At 37.6% G+C, this 19,574-nt stretch overlaps 1 protein-coding gene across 3 annotated transcripts in view; it reads left to right on the forward strand.

Annotated features, from left to right (window-relative positions):
• MYOZ2 (myozenin 2) overlaps positions 1-19,574 on the forward strand; it is a 51,958-nt gene that overhangs the window by 22,831 nt on the left and 9,553 nt on the right. Inside the window, exons 5-6 of one of the 3 annotated variants that reach the window (NM_001440645.1) lie at positions 5,549-5,732; positions 14,148-14,193. In NM_001440645.1, the coding sequence (NP_001427574.1) occupies positions 5,549-5,732; positions 14,148-14,193 (230 nt within the window). Of the gene's footprint in view, positions 1-5,548; positions 5,733-9,899; positions 10,631-14,147; positions 14,194-19,574 lie in introns of those variants that run through there. The other 2 variants (NM_001440646.1, NM_016599.5) reach the window with 2 other exon arrangements.

Raw genomic sequence — 19,574 nt, forward strand, 5'->3', positions numbered from 1 at the left:
TCTGTTAATCACCTGCTATATTGAAAATTATAATAAGTAATTTGTAATTATATTGAAATCCTATTTGTATAGGACTGTACAATTTATAAAGTGCTGTGATATATATTGTCTTCTTTAATTTCGCAGTAACTCTATGACATATTAATTACAATCCTCATTTTATAAATTAAGACGTTGAGGTTATGAATGTCTATGAAGCAACAAAGAATGAATAAGACCTAGTATTTGACAGCACAACAGGGTGACCATAGTCAATAGTAACCTAATTGTACATTTTACAATAACTAAAAGAGTATAACTGGATTGTTTATAACATAAAGAATAAATGCTTAAGATGATGGATACCCCATTTATCCTGATGTGGTTATTGCACATTGCATGCTGTTATCAAAATATCTAATGAACCCCATAAATATATACACCTATTATGTACCCACAAAAGTCAAAAATAAAAATCTTTTAAATTAAAATTACAAGAGAAAAAAGAATTAGGGCCAGGCACAGTGGCTCACAGCTATAATACCAGCATTTTGGGAGGCTGAGGATCACTTTAGGCCAGGAGCTCGAGACCAGCCTGGGCAACATAACAAGACCCTATCTCTACAAAAAATAAATAAATAAAACAAAAAAGAATTAAGCCCAGATCTGGTACCAAATTTACAACTGCCTCATGTCAACAGACCTTATGGAGATTGTTTTTGTTTTCTCTGTTCCCTCAAAGGACTTTCAATGCAGCTCCTAAAGAGTATACATTTGTTTATCATTTTAAAAGAGAATCAACTCCTTATTCAGTCAGTTTATAGTCTTTATAAATAATGTTGGGCATTAAAATAGGACATCTTTCAAAAAATTACATTATCTAATTAGACAACTTTTCAAAGTAACCTATAGTGTCTTTGAAAATTCAAGCATTTCCTCAAGAGTAGTGTATAGATTTCAAAAATTTAAAATAGTTATATCTTGAAACTAAAGATATATGTCTAATTTTTGTAAAATAAACAGTAAATTTAGCAAAAGTACTCCTAGCATTCTTCTCAAATGTAATACTATTTTTGAAAATATGTAAATATTTTGAGATAATGTTATACAGGTACAGCACCTGTACAACATTAAATATTATTTAAAAATAAGGTATTAGAGCATTCTTAATGAGCACGATGAGAAAAACTGTGGATAGACTTAGCAAAATAATACCGAAGGAAACCAATTAGGCACAATTAAAATGCATACAATTCTGAAATGGATTATTTTAATGAAGTTCTCTGGTAGCTTTCAACAAAAGTTATGGCAGAAAAGCAGGTAATAGGGTCTGTATCTACATCATCAACCACATGAGAAAAGAAATAAGGTTTAGAATCAGACAGATCTGGGTTCAACCCTATGGCTCTTCCCATTTTACTACCATGCTGGGAAAGAAAATACATCTCTTTGGGCCCTAGTTTCCTCAATCTGTAAAATAGAGAAAGAAATCTCGCTTTACAGGGTCACTGTGCAAAGTAAGTGTGATGGTATGCGAATAGTCCCTAACATATAATAAGCACTCAGTTAAAGTTAATTCTTTCCCCATCCACCTTTACATCCTTCTTATGCAATAGAATACACAGATACTATCTGAGCTCCAACCACTGTACTACAATCCCTGCTTACTTTTTGGAGTTTTTTTTTTTTTATTAAATAGGAAAGAGAGAGGACATATGGAAAAGTGAATGTTGATACAATTTAGTGCTGTCATTCACTTAGAACTTTTATTATGTAGTCTTTACTGTACACTATGGAATCACAAAATGAATAGAAGAATTAATCTCTATCTTCAAAGAATTAATAGACATAGAGAGATAGAGCAGATGTCCAAAGAATATCTATATTTTCACTTTCTGTGTATATAATTCAACATCATATGTGCATTTTATTGACCATCAGGAGTAAATATGTGTGTGGTTGTATATGTATGTTTATATATATTCAGAGAGAGACTTTGTGGGGGGAAAACTGCATGCTTTATTAAATGGTATATTCAACACACTTTTCTGTATCTTAATTTTCTCATTTAACGGAACCTCAAAGATGTACCTCCAACGCAACTGTTATAGCCCTAATTAATATCGTTTAAATTGACGTGTAATAATTGTACATATTCTTGGGGTACATAGTGATGTTTTGATACATATCCATCATCTCAAATATTTATTATTTCTTTGTGTTGGAAGTATTCAATATCCTCCTTCTAGCTATCTGAACTATATATTATTCTTATTTGTATATAAATTTATATATAAATAACTGTATTATTCTTATAACACCCTACAGTGTTATAGAAGACTATAACTTATTCCTCCTGTCTAGCTATAATTTTGCATTCTTTAACAAATCTCTCTTGTCCCCACTTCTCTCTACTGTTCCCAGCCTCTAGTATCCTCTGTCCTACTTTTCACGCCTAGGAGATCAACCTTTTTTAGCTTCCACATATGAATGAGGACATGCAATGTTTAACTTAAGAGAAATTTTTAAAGCACTAATTTATGTACCTATTTAGAGCTAGTATCCAGTTATTAAATATTAGAAAATGTCTATGCAATATAGAGTAAGAAAATGGGGAGTTGGGGTATTATTATGTACTTTACTATGAGGCAAGAGTACAAATGGATTCTTCCTTCTGAGTAGATAAGTTGAAAAGTACAATAAGCTCAGTAAACAAACTATAATTATTCCAATTTAGCAAATTAATTTGTTATAGTGATTAGCCAACTATGTATCAAAAAGCCAACTTTTTTCATACATGAATAAATAAGAGTATGAAAATGCCATAATACTGTAAAAATAAAATTTATCTAAATTTCAGTTATATTAAAACATATTTAAAAATCAAACAAGAAATGTAGACATATTGCATTGCTGAATTGTAATATTTCTGTGAGGTTAAATATAAGCACATTCTTTTCTGTAGATAACTCAGCATTATCAAAAAAGAAAAAAGTTGTTATTTAATGATATCTATAAAAAGAAATTAGAAAACCTTGAATGTTCAAAAATGGGAAAAGATTACATAACCATGGTTCCTTAATTTAATAGATTATTGTGAAACCCTTAAAATAATTATGAACATGATACAGAAACATTTAAAAGTATTTTAAACAAATTTGGGGGAAAAACATAATATTACACTAGATGTTCTAGTTATGTGATCATTACGTTTATGGGTGAAGAAAAACTGGAAGAAAATACACAAAACTAAATACTTGTGTTAGGGTGGTGAGATTTTGAGGAATTTTAAACAAATTTTATAAAACTTAAAATTGTCCAGTTTTTAAAGGTCTTACCTCTGTTCAACTCCAGGAAAGGAATAGGAAATAAAATGTGGTAGTTATGGTTATAGAATTACGTATAATATACAAAGACAAGACACAGGAAAGAGAACTCTTTCCTCGGGGAGGTAGGAATGGCTGCATAGAAGGGTGACCTGAAGCCAAGGCTTACAGTAGAAATTCGCACATGACAAGAAGTAGGGAGAACAGTCCAGGCACAGGAAATGAATGGACCAAGTAGAGGGGCATAAGGGGCACCCCAAGCAGCAAGTAACTAGATCCATAGTCCTGGAGCAAAGAGTGTGAAAGGAGAAAGCAGGCGGTGAGGCTGGACGGGCTTAAGGGCCACATGGGTCATGCTGAGTGGTTGCGATTTTGTCCTGGGAGGCATTAGGGTCCCCTGAGCAGGGGAAGAGCTGGCCAGTTAGGAAGGTCTCCTGGGGCAGCAGTGTGGAGGCTGGCTGGGAGAGGGTTAGAGCTAAAGGATTAGTGTTGAAGCTGTGGCAAACACCCAGGCAAGAGACACCTGGACCTGACCCAGGGCAGGAGTAACGGAAATGTAAAGAGAATTTTTTAGAGCAGTGTTCCTCGTTGTTCTGTTTGTAGACCACCTGCATAAGATTTGTATGAGAGTTTGTTAAACATTGGAGTTTTAGGTAATACCTGAGACTCACTGAAGCCAGACTCCTGGAGGGAGGATCCTATTATCTACATTTTAAATACGTATCCAAGATAATTCAGACAAACAATAATATGAGAGCCACTATTTTAGAAATCCTTAGGTAGTATAGTTGGTAACACTTTGTGATTTGTTGTGGGGATGAGGGAGACTTTCGGATAATGCTCTGTCTTGGGCATCTGAGAGTAAAGTGATAACATTTGCTAAAATGACCAAAATAGAAAAAGAAGCAGAATATATTAGAAAATGGCTACATTTAGGTCTAGACAGGTTATAAAGGGTGCCAGTGGATCATTTATTTTGATAAATATAGTAAATAATTCAGTAGAGGGCTTGATTATTTTTTTAAAAAGTCAGAATTATCAATACATAGGTCACAATTGAAGCTATGAATATAAATGGAATTTTCTAGGTAGAGTGCATTGTGTAAGAAAAGAGCTTTGAGGAACAACAGTATTTAAGTGGTAAGCAGAGAAAAGGAGCCTACACAAAAAGATTTGTATTAGATACTGGAGGCAATCTGAAGAAAATTAAATAATCACAAATAACTGTTTAGACATGGAATTATCAGGAAGGGGCTTTTTTTTTGGAGGAGACAAACATTTTAGTGTAAAGAGGAGATAGGCATGCTTTGACAGAAGAAAATCAAAATTATTGCAGAGATGGGAAAGAGCATCAGAGAAATCTAAAAGTAGAAGTCATCAAGTGGTAAAGGGATTTGACATGGTGGAAGAGAGAATTGCAGGGATATAACTAGGTAATATGGCAGTGTAAACAGAAAGTAGATAACTGTGCCTTAGAAAACTGGAAGAGTGTCACTCTATGCATGTGAAAAAGGTTTAAAGATCTATGCCAAGAATTTCCGTGACTTTTAAACAGTATTTACAGAAAATTCCCAGCTGTTATGGGAAGAATAAACTGGGGAGGTGAGATCAGAAGCAGAAAAGCTAGGTAAGAAATCTTGAGGAACAAAATAAAAAGGGGATGGGTACATTGGGAGATAAGAAGAGCTGGGCCTGAATAAGGCCGTGGGAACAAGTTACTTCATCTTCTTGAAGCTCAAACATTTTACAGAGCACTCAGCAATTGAAGACAGACAAGACCCAAACATCACCTCTAAAGAATCAGCTCTGGGAGGAGGGAGATTTTGTCTGCATTGCGATTTCCCCTACCTTAGACTACAATAGGCACTCAATATTAACATTTTTAAATTAATTAATTGTGGTATCTAAAGTCTAGTGTGAATTAATGCAAGGAGCACAATTTTTAGAAAACTAAATGAACAGTTTTACTGGAAAAATATATATACTAAGACAGTCAAGAAAAAACTGTATAATTTGGAAAAATTAAACATTAAGAAAAATGGTTTCTTTTTAAAGTTCCATAAGCTTACAGGAGCTCTAAAATGTCTAACACTTGCAGACTGCTGTTTTCTAAGGGATCATGAAAAGGATGCATGCTTCATAAATTTATCCCAGCATGAAAAATCAAACATGGTAAAATGTTAGGTGGAGGTTAGTAACTCTCGGGCACAGTATTTACTTACTTTTGCTATATTTTTCCAAAGGATATTCTGGACCACTGAAGGAAATTCCTCCTGAAAAATTCAACACCACAGCTGTCCCTAAGTACTATCAATCTCCCTGGGAACAAGCCATTAGCAATGATCCGGAGCTTTTAGAGGCTTTATATCCTAAACTTTTCAAGCCTGAAGGAAAGGCAGAACTGCCTGATTACAGGAGCTTTAACAGGTAATTCAATGGTCCTGGGTGACACTGTTGGCATGCAATACCAAAATTTTTTCATCATGGTACAGATAACTGAATTCCCTGGTAGAAAGCAATTTTTTCTTTTGAGAAAAGAATCTAAATAGCAATATAGGATATCTTCTAAGCCTAGGCAAAGACTCATTTTTGTAATATTACTATTATTTTCAAACTTGGTCATTTTTAGTATAAAAATGAAGGAAATGATTCAGAAACTATCATTGGTATAACATCAAGATTATCCCTTGATACTTTAAAAATGTTATTTTAATAATAGTTTCAAATCCAAAGATTGATCTGGGTTTATGCATTGTTTCAAATGGCAATACTGTTCAAGAATTTAATAAATAATTCACATGCAAGGCTATGAGAATTACTGTGTAACTCCAGATTCTATCTTACATTTTTGCAGGCTTTAGGACAGATTAAAAGTAATTTAGAGACTTAATGGCCCAAGATTCCAGAAGAGGTACAACCCAAAACTTATGCTATCAAAAATATCACCAAATGATATCTGTAGTATAGTTTATAGAATGGGCATCCATTTTTCTCTGTTATTCAGTTTTTATAATTTCCATGGATATTTTGAATTTTTAATAGTCTCATAATCCATTATTTGATCACTTGACCTTCATTTTAGAGTAAAATATTAAAATATCTAATATCTAGTATGCTGTCTCACACTCAAAAAAAGTTAGACTCAATTTATAGGCAGCTTAATAACCATTCATTTAAAAATGAATAAATTAATGAGTAAATTTTTTTATTTAAAAAAAGAATGCCAAATAGACTGCATTTAAACAGTGATCTTCTTAAGTGATCGGATGTGGTGGCTCATGCCTGTCATCCCAGCACTTTGGGAGGCTGAGGTGGGTGGATCACTTGAACCCAGGAGTTCAAGACTACCCTGGGCAACATAGCAAGAACCCTGTCTCTACAAAAAATACAAAAATTAGCCAAGAGTGGTGGCATGTACCTGTAGTCCCAGCTACTTGGCAGGCTGAAGTGGGAGGATCACTGGAGCCCAGGAGGTGGAAGTTGCAGTGAGCTGAAATCATGTAACTTCACTCTAGCCTGGGCAAATAGTGAGACCTTGTCTCAAAAAATAATAAATAAATAAAATAAATAAAAATAAATATTGTACTATTAAGATTTTAGTTTTTGCACACTACCATTATTAGTAATGCATCCCTTGCATGAAAGAGGTGTACCATAGAATTTAAAGAGGGGTTGAGGAGTGGCAGGGAAAGAAAGTTGGAGGCCCATTCTGATCAATGTTATAATTTTTTTTTCAAAATGAGAGTGTAGAAAATTATAACAAGTAAAACATTAGGGGAAAATGGAAATTAATGGAATAACTCGGATTTGTTTTTGAGATTAAGTGCTTAAGACATGCTGTAAGACTTCTCTGTATCTTGTGGCTTTGGTGCCCTGTACCTGCTGAGCAGCTTGCCTGTAGTTCTACACACACTGGTGTGGTAATATTTGGGTTAGTTATAAAGAGATGCCTATTGACTGTATAAATACCAGGTGAGTACTATATCAGTGAGCACAATACCATTCAACAGGAAATGTAGCTCCCTGTGTTAATCAAAGCTTTTGCAAATATTACATGCTGTGTGTGTGTGCGTGTGTGTGTGTGTGTGAAAACTTAATCTGCTAATACTTCTCTTTTACTTTAGAACATTTTATTCCTTTGCATATCTACATCAACGTAGAAATAAAAACTTAGGAATTAAATTCTTTCAACATGATAGTATATTCTTAGACTTCTTATTATTAAATAACATTAATGGATGAAACAAAACATGATATGATACATAGACAGCCCAAACAGATAGCTGTAAGATCCTTTCTAACCTTGAAGCGTATGTAGGCCAGGTGCGTATGTACAGGCTGGGGTACATGCCTGTAATCCCAGCACTTTGAGAAGCCAAGGTGAGCTGAGCCCAGGAGTTTGAGACCTGCCAGCACAACATAGTAAGAACTCAAAAAGTGAGGCGAGAGGGTCGCTTGAGCCCAGGAGGTTGAGGCTGCTGCAATGAGCTATAATCACACCACTGTACTCCCACCTGGGCAATGGGAGAGAGACCCTGTCTCAAAAAAAAAAAAAAGTATATGCACAGGGATACACAAAGTTTAAGACATTGTCTAGTACGTGCATTGCTTTAGAAGTCCACTTAAAAAACAACTAAACAGTATACAGGCATACCTCGTTTTATTGCACTTCACTTTACTCTTCTTGGCAGATACTGCATTTTCTCACAAATTGAAGGTTTGTGGCAACCCTGTGTCAAGCAAGTCTATTGGTGCCATTTTTCCAACATCATGTGCTCACTTTGGTAATTGTCACAATATTCTGATTTCATTATTATTATATCTGTTATGGTGACCTGTGATCAGCAATCTTAGATGTTACTATTGTAACTGTTTTTGGGATGTCATGAACCATGCCCATGTAAAAAGGCAAACTTAATCAATACATGTTGTGTGTGTTCTGAGTGCTCCAATGACCAGCCACTCCCCCATCTCTCTCCCTTTCCTGGGCCTCCCTATTCCCTGAGACACAACAATATTGAAATTAAGCCAATTAATAACCCTATAGTAGCCTCTAAGTGTTCAAGTGAAAGGAAGAGTCACAAGTCTCTCATTTTAAATCAAAAGCTAGAAATGATTAGACAGTGAGGAAGACATGTCAAAAGCAGAGATAAGCTGAAAGCTAGGCCTCTTGTGCCAGTTAGCCAAGGTGTGAATGCAAAGGAAAAATTCAGGAAGAAAATGATAAGTGCTACTCCAGTGAACACATGAATGATAAAATAGTAAAACAGCCTTAGTGCTGATATCAAGAAAGTTTGAGTAGTCTGGATGGAAGATCAAACCAGGAACAACATTTCCATAATTTAGCCAAAACCCAATCCAGAGCAAGGCCCTAACTTTCTTCAACTTTATGAAGGCTTAGAGAGAGGCAAGGGAGTTGCAGAAGAAAAGTTGGAAGCTAGTAGTTGTTGGTTCATGAAGGCTGAGGAAAGACGCCATCTTCTTAACTTTTATAGCGCAAGGTGAAGCAGCAAGTGCAGATGTAGAAGCTGCAGCAAATTATCCAGAAGATCTAGCTAAGAGGATTGATGAAAGTGGCTACAGTAAATAACAGATTTTCAATGTAGGTGAAACAACCTTCTATTGGAAGAAGATACCATCTATGGCTTCCATAGCTAGAGAGAAGTCAATGCTTGGCTTTGAAGCTTCAAAGAACAAGCTAACTATCTCACTAGAAACTAATGTAGCTGGTGAATTTGAGTTGAGTTGAAGCCAATGCTCATTTACCATTCTGAGAATTCCAGGGCCCTTGAGAATCATGCTAAATCTCTGTCTGTGCTTTATAAATGGAAAAGCAAAGCCTGAATGACAGCACATCTGTTTACAGCATGGCTTACTGAATATTTTAAGCCTACTCTTGAGACCTATTGCTCAGAAAAGAATATTCTTTTCAATTTATTACTCTTTATTGACAACGAACCTGGTCACCCAAGAGCTCTGATGGCAATGTACACGGAGATTAATGTTTTGTTTTGTTTTGTTTTGAGACGGAGTCTCGCTCTGTCACCCAGGCTGGAGTGCAGTGGTGTGATCTCGGCTCACTGCAAGCTCCGCCTCCTGGGTTCATGCCATTCTCCTGCCTCAGCCTCCTGAGTAGCTGGGACTACAGGTGCCTGCCATCATGCTCAGCTAATTTTTTGTATTTTTAGTAGAGACAGGGTTTCACTGTGTTAGCCAGGATGGTCTCTATCTCCTGACCTCGTGATCTGCCCGCCTCGGTCTCCCAAAGTGCTGGGATTATGGGCGTGAGCCACTGCGCCCAGCCTAATACTTTTTATGCCTGTTGACACAACATCCATTCTGTAGCCCATGGATCAAGGAGTAATTTTGACTATCAAGCCTTATTATTTAAGCAACACATTTCATAAGGCTATAGCTGCCATAGAAAGGGATTCCTCTGATTGATCTGGGCAAAGTAAATTGAAAACCTTCTGAAAAGAATTCACCATTCTAGATGCCATGAAGATTATTTGTGATTCATGGAAGGAAAGCAAAATAATAACATTAACAGGACTTTGGAAAAAGTTCATTCCAACTCTCATGGTTAACTTTAAGGGGTTCAAGACTTCATTGGAGGAAGTAAATAAAGATCTGGTGGAAATAGCAAGACAACTAAAGCTAGAAGTGGAGTGTGGAGATGTGACTGAATTGCTGCAATCTAAAAAAAACAACAACAAAACAACAACAACAACAACAACAACAACAAAAAACCACCTGAGCAGATCAGGAGTTGCTTCTTATGAATAAGCCAAGAAAGTGGTTTCTTGAGATGGTATCTACCCCTGCTGAGGATGCTGTGAATATTGTTGACATGACAACAAATATTGAGAATATTCCCTAAACTTAGTTGATAAGGCAGTAGCAGGATTGGAGAGGATTGACTCCAATTTTGAAATAAGTTCTACTGTGGGTAAAATGCTACCAAACAGTATCATATGCTACAAAGAAATTTTTCATGAAAGGAAGAATCAATTGATGCAGCAAAAATCACTGTTGCCTTATTTTAATAAATTGCCACAATCAATCCAACATTCAGCAATCACTACCCTGATCAGTCGGCAGCTATCAACAATATGGCAATCACTCCACCAACAAAAAATTTCAACTTACTGAAGGCTCAGATGACCATTAGCATTTATTAGCAATAAAATATTTGAAACTAAAGTATGTACTTTGTTTTTCAGACATATTGTTCTTAAGGACACAATGCTATAGATAGTTGATGGACTACAATACAGTGTAAACATAACTTTTATATACGCTGGGAAATAAAAAATTTCATGCAACTTGCTCTCTTGTGATACTCTATTGCAGTGGTCTGGAACCAAACCTACAATATCTCCAAAGTACGCCTGTAATTATATCTTTGGCTTAAATGCTTGCTAAGTGAATAAGACCAAAGGACATAAGTAAGATTTTCACATCCAGCTATGGCAGACTACTTTATATCAGAACAACTTCATAAAAATAACCAGAAAAGCTAGTTTTAAAAAATGAGTTTTAAAAATGGTTTAAAATCTACCAAGGAAGTGAGTACTTGAGGCCAGGGCTCTGGAGATGAGGGAAATTTAGAGATTTTAACCCAACATGTGGTACCACGTTTCTCCTTGAGGCACCTGTTGATTCATCAGCAGCACTAAAAGGCTAAAAAGCTGAGTAAACCTTTTGGCAGCTTCAAGTCTGGGAACACCAAATAGGAGTATAGGGTCTTCCAGGGAGGAGGGGTCTTGGTAAATATTCCATACTTTCAGCTGGAAGCCCTAAAGGGCTATACCATTGGAATAAAGGTGAACAAGTAATACTTCAGCCTTCATAAAACTAAATATTGCTCTCAACCAACAAAATCTTAGATTGGATAAAGGCTATCTCCCCTAAATCAAACTGCCCGCTCTGACAAAAATGAATCCCTTCTAGAAAGAAGATGACATCTCTTAAAGACTTAAATCATCCTACAGGTTTTTTTAAAAAAATATTTTTTGTTGTTGTTGTCATGGTGGTGGTGATATACACATAACATAAAATGAACTATCTTAATCACTTTAAGCATACAGTTCAGTGGTATTCAGTACAATACTTCATAATGTCGTGCCACCATCACCACCATTCCTCTCCATAACTCTCCATCTGGTAAAACTGAAACTCTGTACCCATTAAACAATAACTCCCCATTCCCTCTCTGCCACCATCAATTCCTGACAACCACCATTCTACTTTCTGTCTCTATGATTTTTACCACTTTAAGGGCCTTGTATAAATAGAATCCTACAGTATTTGTTGTTTTTTTTTTTTGTGGCTGGCTTATTTCACTTAGTATAATGTCCTCATGCTAAAAAAAATTTTCATAAGTTTATATTACTATAAAAGTCAAAATATTGACTACCACTAGGGGCTAGAGGGTATTGTGATTGGGCAGGGACCATGGATAGAGCTCTGGAGTGGCTCTTGATATGTGTAGTCCTTTCCAAGATTATTCATTTCATAGACATTATGTATACTTTCTTAAGTTTTCTGTACTTGTGTTATATTAAATAATATAAATGTTTTTAAAATTCCATAAATGGAATTAATAGCAGATTAGACATAGCTGAAGAGAGAATTGCTAAATTGAGGCAGAAAGTGTTCAAGCTGCAACGTGGAGAAAATAGGATTTAAGATGCAGAAAAACAGCAGAAGACATACTTGGAGCAGTAATAAAAATGCCAATATATGTGTATGGTTGGAGCCTCAGAAGGGAATAAGAGAGAGAAGCAATATTGAAAGAATTCATGGCGTAAGATTTTTCAAAATTGACAAAAGACATCAAGCTTCAAGTTCAAGAAGTACTACAGCACCCAAGAAGGGTAAATGCAAAGTAAACCACACAAAAGGCACATGATTGTAAAATAAAGACAATTAAGAAAATCTTAAAGCGAAGGAATAATAGACACATTATCTTAAAATGAGTAAAAATAAGACAGTTGATTTTCCAACTGAAATGATGGGAGAGAGTGGATTAACACTTTTAAAATAATGAAATAAATAACAGCAAACCTGTAATTCTATATCCAGTGAAAATATTATTTAAAGGTAAAAGTTAAGACATACTTACATAAATGTTTTCAGAGAAAGATGCTGTTTGTTTACCCCTGCCAAACAATAATACAAGAGTAATAAATAAAAGGGGTAAGTATAGGAAAAGAAAAATAAAGATGTCATTATTCACAAATGACATGATTATGTCCATAGAAAATTTAAAAGAAGCTACCAGTAAATCATTAGGATTAATAAGTGAATTTAGTGAGAGCACAGAATAAAAGGTCATCGTTAATAGTTATTTTTATACACCAGCAATAATTAGAAAATAAATAGTATTAATTAACTTTTACCTTATGTTTTGTGCACTTTCTGTATCTTACACTTCAATAAAATTTTTATTTCAAAAAAATCACATAGGCAAAATAATCTCAATAGGTATCTGGGTCTTTATAAACTAAATGTGACAAAAGCCATTCTTTGAATTAGTCCAGAACAAAATCTAGTCATTTAAAATAGAGGCTAAAATAATTTTCAGGTATAAAATAATTTTCAAGTTATTATTTTCAATTTATTATTTTCCCTATTGTAGGTTAACATGATTTTATTTTATCAAACTACTCAAAATTATAAGAAAGCCATTTGGCCAAAGATTTATTTTGTCATACAACTATTATACATATATATTTTTAATAAAATATTTTATTTTATTTTCTGATTATTAAATAATTTAACATAATATTACACGAAGACTTTATTCTGATATATCTATTTTTCACATTTTTTCCAAACACACAAACACACACACACACACACAAAACAAAACAAAACAAAAAAACAGAAGAAAGAGACAAAGAGAAAGAAGCAAGCAATTTCCAGTTATTTCCAAAGTCCTTGCAAAGAGTAAAATAATATTGTTTGGTAGTTTACATTATGATATGTAATTATTAGATATTGCTGATGAAGCCTAGAGAGGTAAGATATAGTCAAATGGCATTCAGCAATGATAATGAGTGGATGAAAATCGGCTTCTAAGTCTAATCACAATTTCAAAATGGCCCAGAGTTTAGTTCAACTTTGAATTTTTGTAGTTCCTCTGAGTGTATTCAAATTTTATGTTACATTCAAATAATATTTCATTAAACCCATGAGAAAAAGTAAACCAGGAGCAAGGAGGCTTGTAACCCCCCAAAGGGTTCTCCTTGCCCCCTGCCTAGACAGAGCTGATTTATCAAGACAGGAGAATTGCGATAGAGTTTAATTCACGCAGAGCTGGCTGCATGACGGGAGACCAGAGTTTTATTATTACTGAAACCAGTCTCCCTGGGGATCAGGCTTTTTAAGGAAAATTTGGTGGGTAGTGGGGACAGTGAGTCACGAGTGCTGATTGGTCAGGTGGAAGATGAAATCAGAGTGAGTCGAAGCTGTCCTCTTGCGCTGAGTCAGTTCCTGGGTGGGGGCCACAAGATCAGATGAACCAGTTTATTGATCTGAGTGGTGCCAGCTGATCCATCGAGTACAGGGTTTACAAAATATCTCAAACACTGTTCTAAGGTTTTACCATAGTGATGTTATCCCCAAGGAAAAATTTGGGGAGGTTCAGAATCTTGCAGCTTCCAGTTGCAAGACACCTAAACCATAACTTCTGATCTTGTGGCTGATTTGTTAGTTCTGCAAGAGCAATCTAGTCCCCAGGCAGGAAGGGGATTTGTTTTGGGAAAGGGCTGTTACCGCCATTGTTTCGAAGTTAAACCATAAATTTCTCCCAAAGTTAGTTTGGCCTATTCCTAGGAAAGGAAGAGGAACAGCTTGGAGGTTAGAAGCAAGATGGAGTCAGGTAAGATCTCTCACTGTTATAATTTTCTCAGTTATAATTTTGCAAAGGCAGTTTCAGATTCCCAGTTCTGCTTCAAAAAGCTGTATGACTTCGGGTATGTCACTTAACCTCTTATCTTAATTTCCCCATCTGCAAAATAAATTCTATAATGATATGATTAAGTACCTTTAAATATAGTACATTCATTAGCTACTTAGTAGAATATTTTAACTTTTATACAATCATTTTACCTACTTCTTCACCTTATAGAATAATTAGTAATTATTATAGGCGTATTATATATCCAGTACTATTAGTTTTCACAAATGTAATCCATCACTGACCCATCAAAATAAACAAGAAAGTATCTACTAACTGTGAATCTGAATGAAACAGGCTTATTCTTCACTACGTAGAGGATGAAATAGAAAAATCATTTTAAGTCAGACCTATGTTTGAAGAATTTCTATGTTATGGGAACTGGGGAGATAGATGCACAGGTATTTTTCAGTAGACTATTTTAAATCTTTCATTGGAAACGTTTGCTTCACTAACTTTGACTTAAACTTGAAACTATTTTCAGGGACCTTAAAAATCTTATGAGTAGTCTCTCGCTTTGAAAACTTAACATCTCTATTAATGGACTCTCTTTTAATTTGTGTGTTGAGGGCAATCAAATTCAAACAAACAGGATGTAGCCTCAATGACGCCAAAGAAAAGAAAACTGCTTTCCAAACAGCAGCTCTTCATTGTATCTGTGGTAGTGAGAGGTGACAGCGTGCTGGCAGTCCTCACAGCCCTCGCTCGCTCTCGGCACCTCCTCTGCCTGGGCTCCCACTTTGGCGGCACTTGAGGAGCCCTTCAGCCCACCGCTGCACTGTGGGAGCCCCTTTCTGGGCTGGACAAGGCCGGCGCCCACTCCCTCACCTCAGCTTGCAGGGAGCTGTGGAGGGAGAGGCCCGAGCGGGAACCGGGGCTGCGTGGGACGCTTGCTGGCCAGCTGGAGTTCTGGGTGGGCATGGGCTTGGCGGGCCCCGCACTCGGAGCAGCCAGCCAGCCCTGCCGGCCCGGGGCAATGAGGGACTTAGCACTCGGGCCAGCGGCGGTGGGGGGTGTACTGGGTCCCCCAGCAGTGCCAGCCCACCGGCGCTGCACTTGATTTCTCACCGGGCCTTAGCTGCCTTCCCGCAGGGCAGGGCTTGGGACCTGCAGCCCGCCATGCCTGAGCCTCCCACCCCCTCCATGGGCTCGTGGGCCGCCTGAGCCTCCCCGACGAGTGCCACCTCCTGCTCCACTGCGCCCAGTCCCATCGACCACCCAGGGGCTGAGGAGTGCAAGCGCACGGCGCAGGACTGGCAGGCAGCTCCACCTGCAGCCCTGGTGCGGGATCCTCTAGGTGAAGCCAGCTGGGCTCCTGAGTCTGGTGGGGCCTTGGAGAACCTTTATGTCTAGCTCAGGGATTGTAAATGCACCAATCAGCACTCTGTATCTAGCTCAAGGTTTGTAAACACACCAGTCAGCACCCTGTGTCTAGCTCAGGGTTTGTGAATGCACCAATGGACACTCTGTATCTAGCTGCTCTGGTGGGGCCTTGGAGAACCTTTATGTCTAGTTCAGGGATTGTAAATACACCAATCAGCACCCTGTGTTTAGCTTAGGGTTTGTGAGTGCACCAATCCACACTCTGTATCTAGCTGCTCTGGTGGGGCCTTGGAGAACCTTTGTGTCCATACTCTGTATCTAACTAATCTGATGGGGAGGTGGAGAACCTTTGTATCTAGCTCAGGGATTGTAAATGCACCAATCAGCGCCCTGTCAAAATAGACCACCGGGCTCTACCAATCAGCAGGATGTGGGTGGGGCCAGACAAGAGAATAAAAGCAGGCTGCCCAAGCCAGCAGTGGCAACCCGCTCGGGTCCCCTTCCACACAGTGGAAGCTTTGTTCTTTCACTCTTTGCAATAAATCTTGCTACTGCTCACTTTTTGGGTCCACGCTGCTTTTATGAGCTGTAACAGTCACCGCAAAGATCTGCAGCTTCACTCCTGAAGCAGTGAGACCACGAGCCCACCAGGAGGAACGAACAACTCCAGACGTGCTGCCTTAAGAGCTGTAACACTCACCGTGAAGGTCTGCAGCTTCACTCCTGAGCCAGTGAGACCATGAACCCACCAGAAGGAAGAAACTCCGAACACATCCGAACATCAGAAGGAACAAACTCCAGACACGCCACTTTAAGAGCTGTAACACTCACCGAGAGGGTCCGCGGCTTCATTCTTGAAGTCAGTGAGACCAAGAACCCACCAATTCCCGACACAGTAGGAGATGGGAGGTGGATGATAAAACAGAAGGAAATGTTTTCATTTATAAGAGAAGAAAATGATCTACAAATCGGTAGGAAAAAAACAAAATAGAGCTGGATAAAAAGGGGAAAAGCAATCCACTAATTGCCAACCCAAATACTGTATTTTAGTGCAGAGGGATGTGTCTTCTTTGATGTAATTCAGAAAACAAAATAACTGAATAAATTCATTTCTGGAATAAATAAATACAAGGTTAATTGATCAATTTTTGCTTAAATCTAGAAATGTTCAATTGTAATCTATTGCATCTAATGGATAACTATTCATTCTTAAAAAACAATGGGCCAGGTGCAGTGGGTCACACCTATAATCCCAGCACTTTGGGAGGCTGGGGCGGGTGGGGTTAGGAGTTCGAGACCACCCTGGCCAACATGGTGAAACTCTGTTTCTACTAAAAATACAAAAATTAGCCAGGTGTGGTGGCGGGCGTCTGTAATCCTAGCTACTTGGGAGGCTGAGGCAGGAGACTGGTTTGAACCCAGGAGACAGAGGTTGCTGTGAGTAGAGATTGTCCCACTGCACTCCAGCCTGGGTGACAGCGTGAGGCTCCATCTTAAAAAAAAAAAAAAAATTTTGAAGTAGTGGTTGTGTGACCTGTGCAATTGCATGGGGCCCCACATTTATTTATTTCAAAGGGCCATGTTTGGTTTGATCCTCTGCTGTTTCTTTCTTCAAATTCCTAATAATTTCTGAACAAGGGGCATTGTGTTTTCATTTTGCACTGGGTTCTAAAAATTAGGTAGCTTGTCTGGATCTTGAGCTCAAAAGTGAAGCAATGTGTTCTGACCCGCCAGGTAGGCTAAGGTGTTTTTTACCCTAGGCTCCTCTGCACTCAGGACATTCTTCTCTTAGAGTAACTAGCTTATTCCATGTTGTATTTTTTCCTCATGTTTCACCGTCTTTGAGTTCATTGAGGTTAAGATCTACAATTTTTTCGTGTTTGATTCCCTAGCATGCAGCATTGTATCTAGACATGCTAAGAAATCAGTAATTTGTTGCATGAATACATGGGTGAATCAACCATTGAACAAACTTTTTTTTTTAAAACAGTCTCACTCTTGTGGCTCAGGCTGGAGTGCAGTGGTGTGATCTCGGCTCACTGCAACCTCCACCTCCCCAGTTCAAACGATTCTCCTGCTTCAGACTCCGGAGTAGCTGGGATTACAAGCGCCTGCCACCACACCCAGCTAATTTTTTTGTATTTTTAGTAGAGACAGGGTTTCGCCATGTTGGCCAGGCTGGTCTTGAGCTCCCTACCTTGGGTGATCTGCCCACTTCGGCCTCCGAAAGTACTGGGATTACAGGCATGAGCCACTGTGCCTGGCCCTGAACAAACTATTGATATACAATGGCAAGATTTTAAAATGATAAAATATCATCTTGAACATCTGAGATAAGAAGTGTTCTTTTGTACTGAATCAAATTTGAGACATAAAGACTCCTCAGTCACTAAACCAGATAACAAAATATGGGACCCTGAATCATCTACTGTGTAAGAGAGATTAATTTGAAAAAGAACTTTAAGAACTTACATTATCATTCAGGTACCTTGTGATTATTAAACTTCATAAGGCATAGTAATGATGGAAACTAATTTATTGAGTGAGTACTATGTATCAGGCACGGTTTTAAGTGCTTTTCAAACTCTATTAGTATGGGAATTATCTTGAGCTCTTGTCAAAGTGCAGACGCCAATTCAGTAAGTTTAGGTTGTGCTCTAAGATTCTGTAGTTCTAACTAGTTCCCAGATGAAGCCAGTGCTGCTATCTGTGACCACACACTGAGTACTGGGAGGCGGAGGTTGCAGTGAGCCGAGATTGTGCCATTGCACTCCAGTCTGGGTGACAAGAGCGAGACTCTGTCTCAAAAAAAACAAAGTTTATTCTTTATTTCAATAATGCTTCAGTTCCACATACCAAAATGACGCCATTTTTTAAAGTCCATCAATCCCTTTGCTCACTATTTCTACCTAGACAGATTTTGTAGTTCGCCATTATGATCATTCCATTTTACACACATCTCATCTTCCTCTCGTCTCTCTCCAAATGTTTTACCCAACTTTTAAAGCTCCAATTCTGATTAAGTCCAGAATCCATCTACTTTGCACTCATATTTAAGCAGCTGAATGTGGCTGGATAAAAAGACATAGTTTTGCTGTCTCCCCTTAAAGTGATTACCACAAATCTCAGCACTGCCAGACAATCCAACAACATTCTCTAGCAAATTCGGTCTGTGAAGACAATTTTCTAGGACAATTCAAATTTTCTAGGACAATTTGAATTGTCCTAGAAGACAATTCACACTTTCTTCTCAACATGGGATGTTTCCACAAACATCCTATACCTCACCCTACTCCTCACTGTCAACCAATGGGATCACTTTTTATTTTTCAAAAAAAAGTGGAAGCAAATTGGAAGACACCTACCTTACCTTCTCATTATCAAATTTGCCAGTTGAGTACATTCGGAACCACATAGCCTGCCTTTTCTCTTAAAAGAGCTGATGAGTTGCCTGCCTTGTTCCTAAAGTCAGCCTCTCTAATTGCATACTGATTCCCAATCCCTCTCATCCACTCTAGGGTTATCCTGCAATTATTCCTTCTCTTGCAGCATCATTTGTTTTTCTCTCTATTGGGTTATTCCTATCAGCATACAAACATATTAAAATGCCTCCCATCTTTAATAAAAATATCTTTTCCCCAGGCTCTCTTCCAATTACCTCAAATTTCTATGCTTTTTCTTGACAGTAAAAAGTTCTTAAATATTGTCTATATTTATTGTCTCTATTTCCTAATGGCACATTCTCTCTTGAATTCATTTTAATCAGGACTGCATCCCACCATTACACTTAAAGAGCTAATCCCCATGTTGTCACATCCAATGGTGAATTCTCAGTGATCAATGTACTCAGCTTCACAGCAGTATGTGAAATGGCTGATCATTCCCCCTTCCAAGAAATAATTTTGTTCCTTGGCTTTTTGATCATCAAACTCCCCAGATCTTTCTCCTTCTCAGCCTTCATTGCTGGCTCCTCCCTTTCC

The sequence above is a fragment of the Homo sapiens genome, chromosome 4, assembly GCF_000001405.40.
Source record: "Homo sapiens chromosome 4, GRCh38.p14 Primary Assembly".
Taxonomy (NCBI): Eukaryota; Metazoa; Chordata; class Mammalia; order Primates; family Hominidae; genus Homo; species Homo sapiens.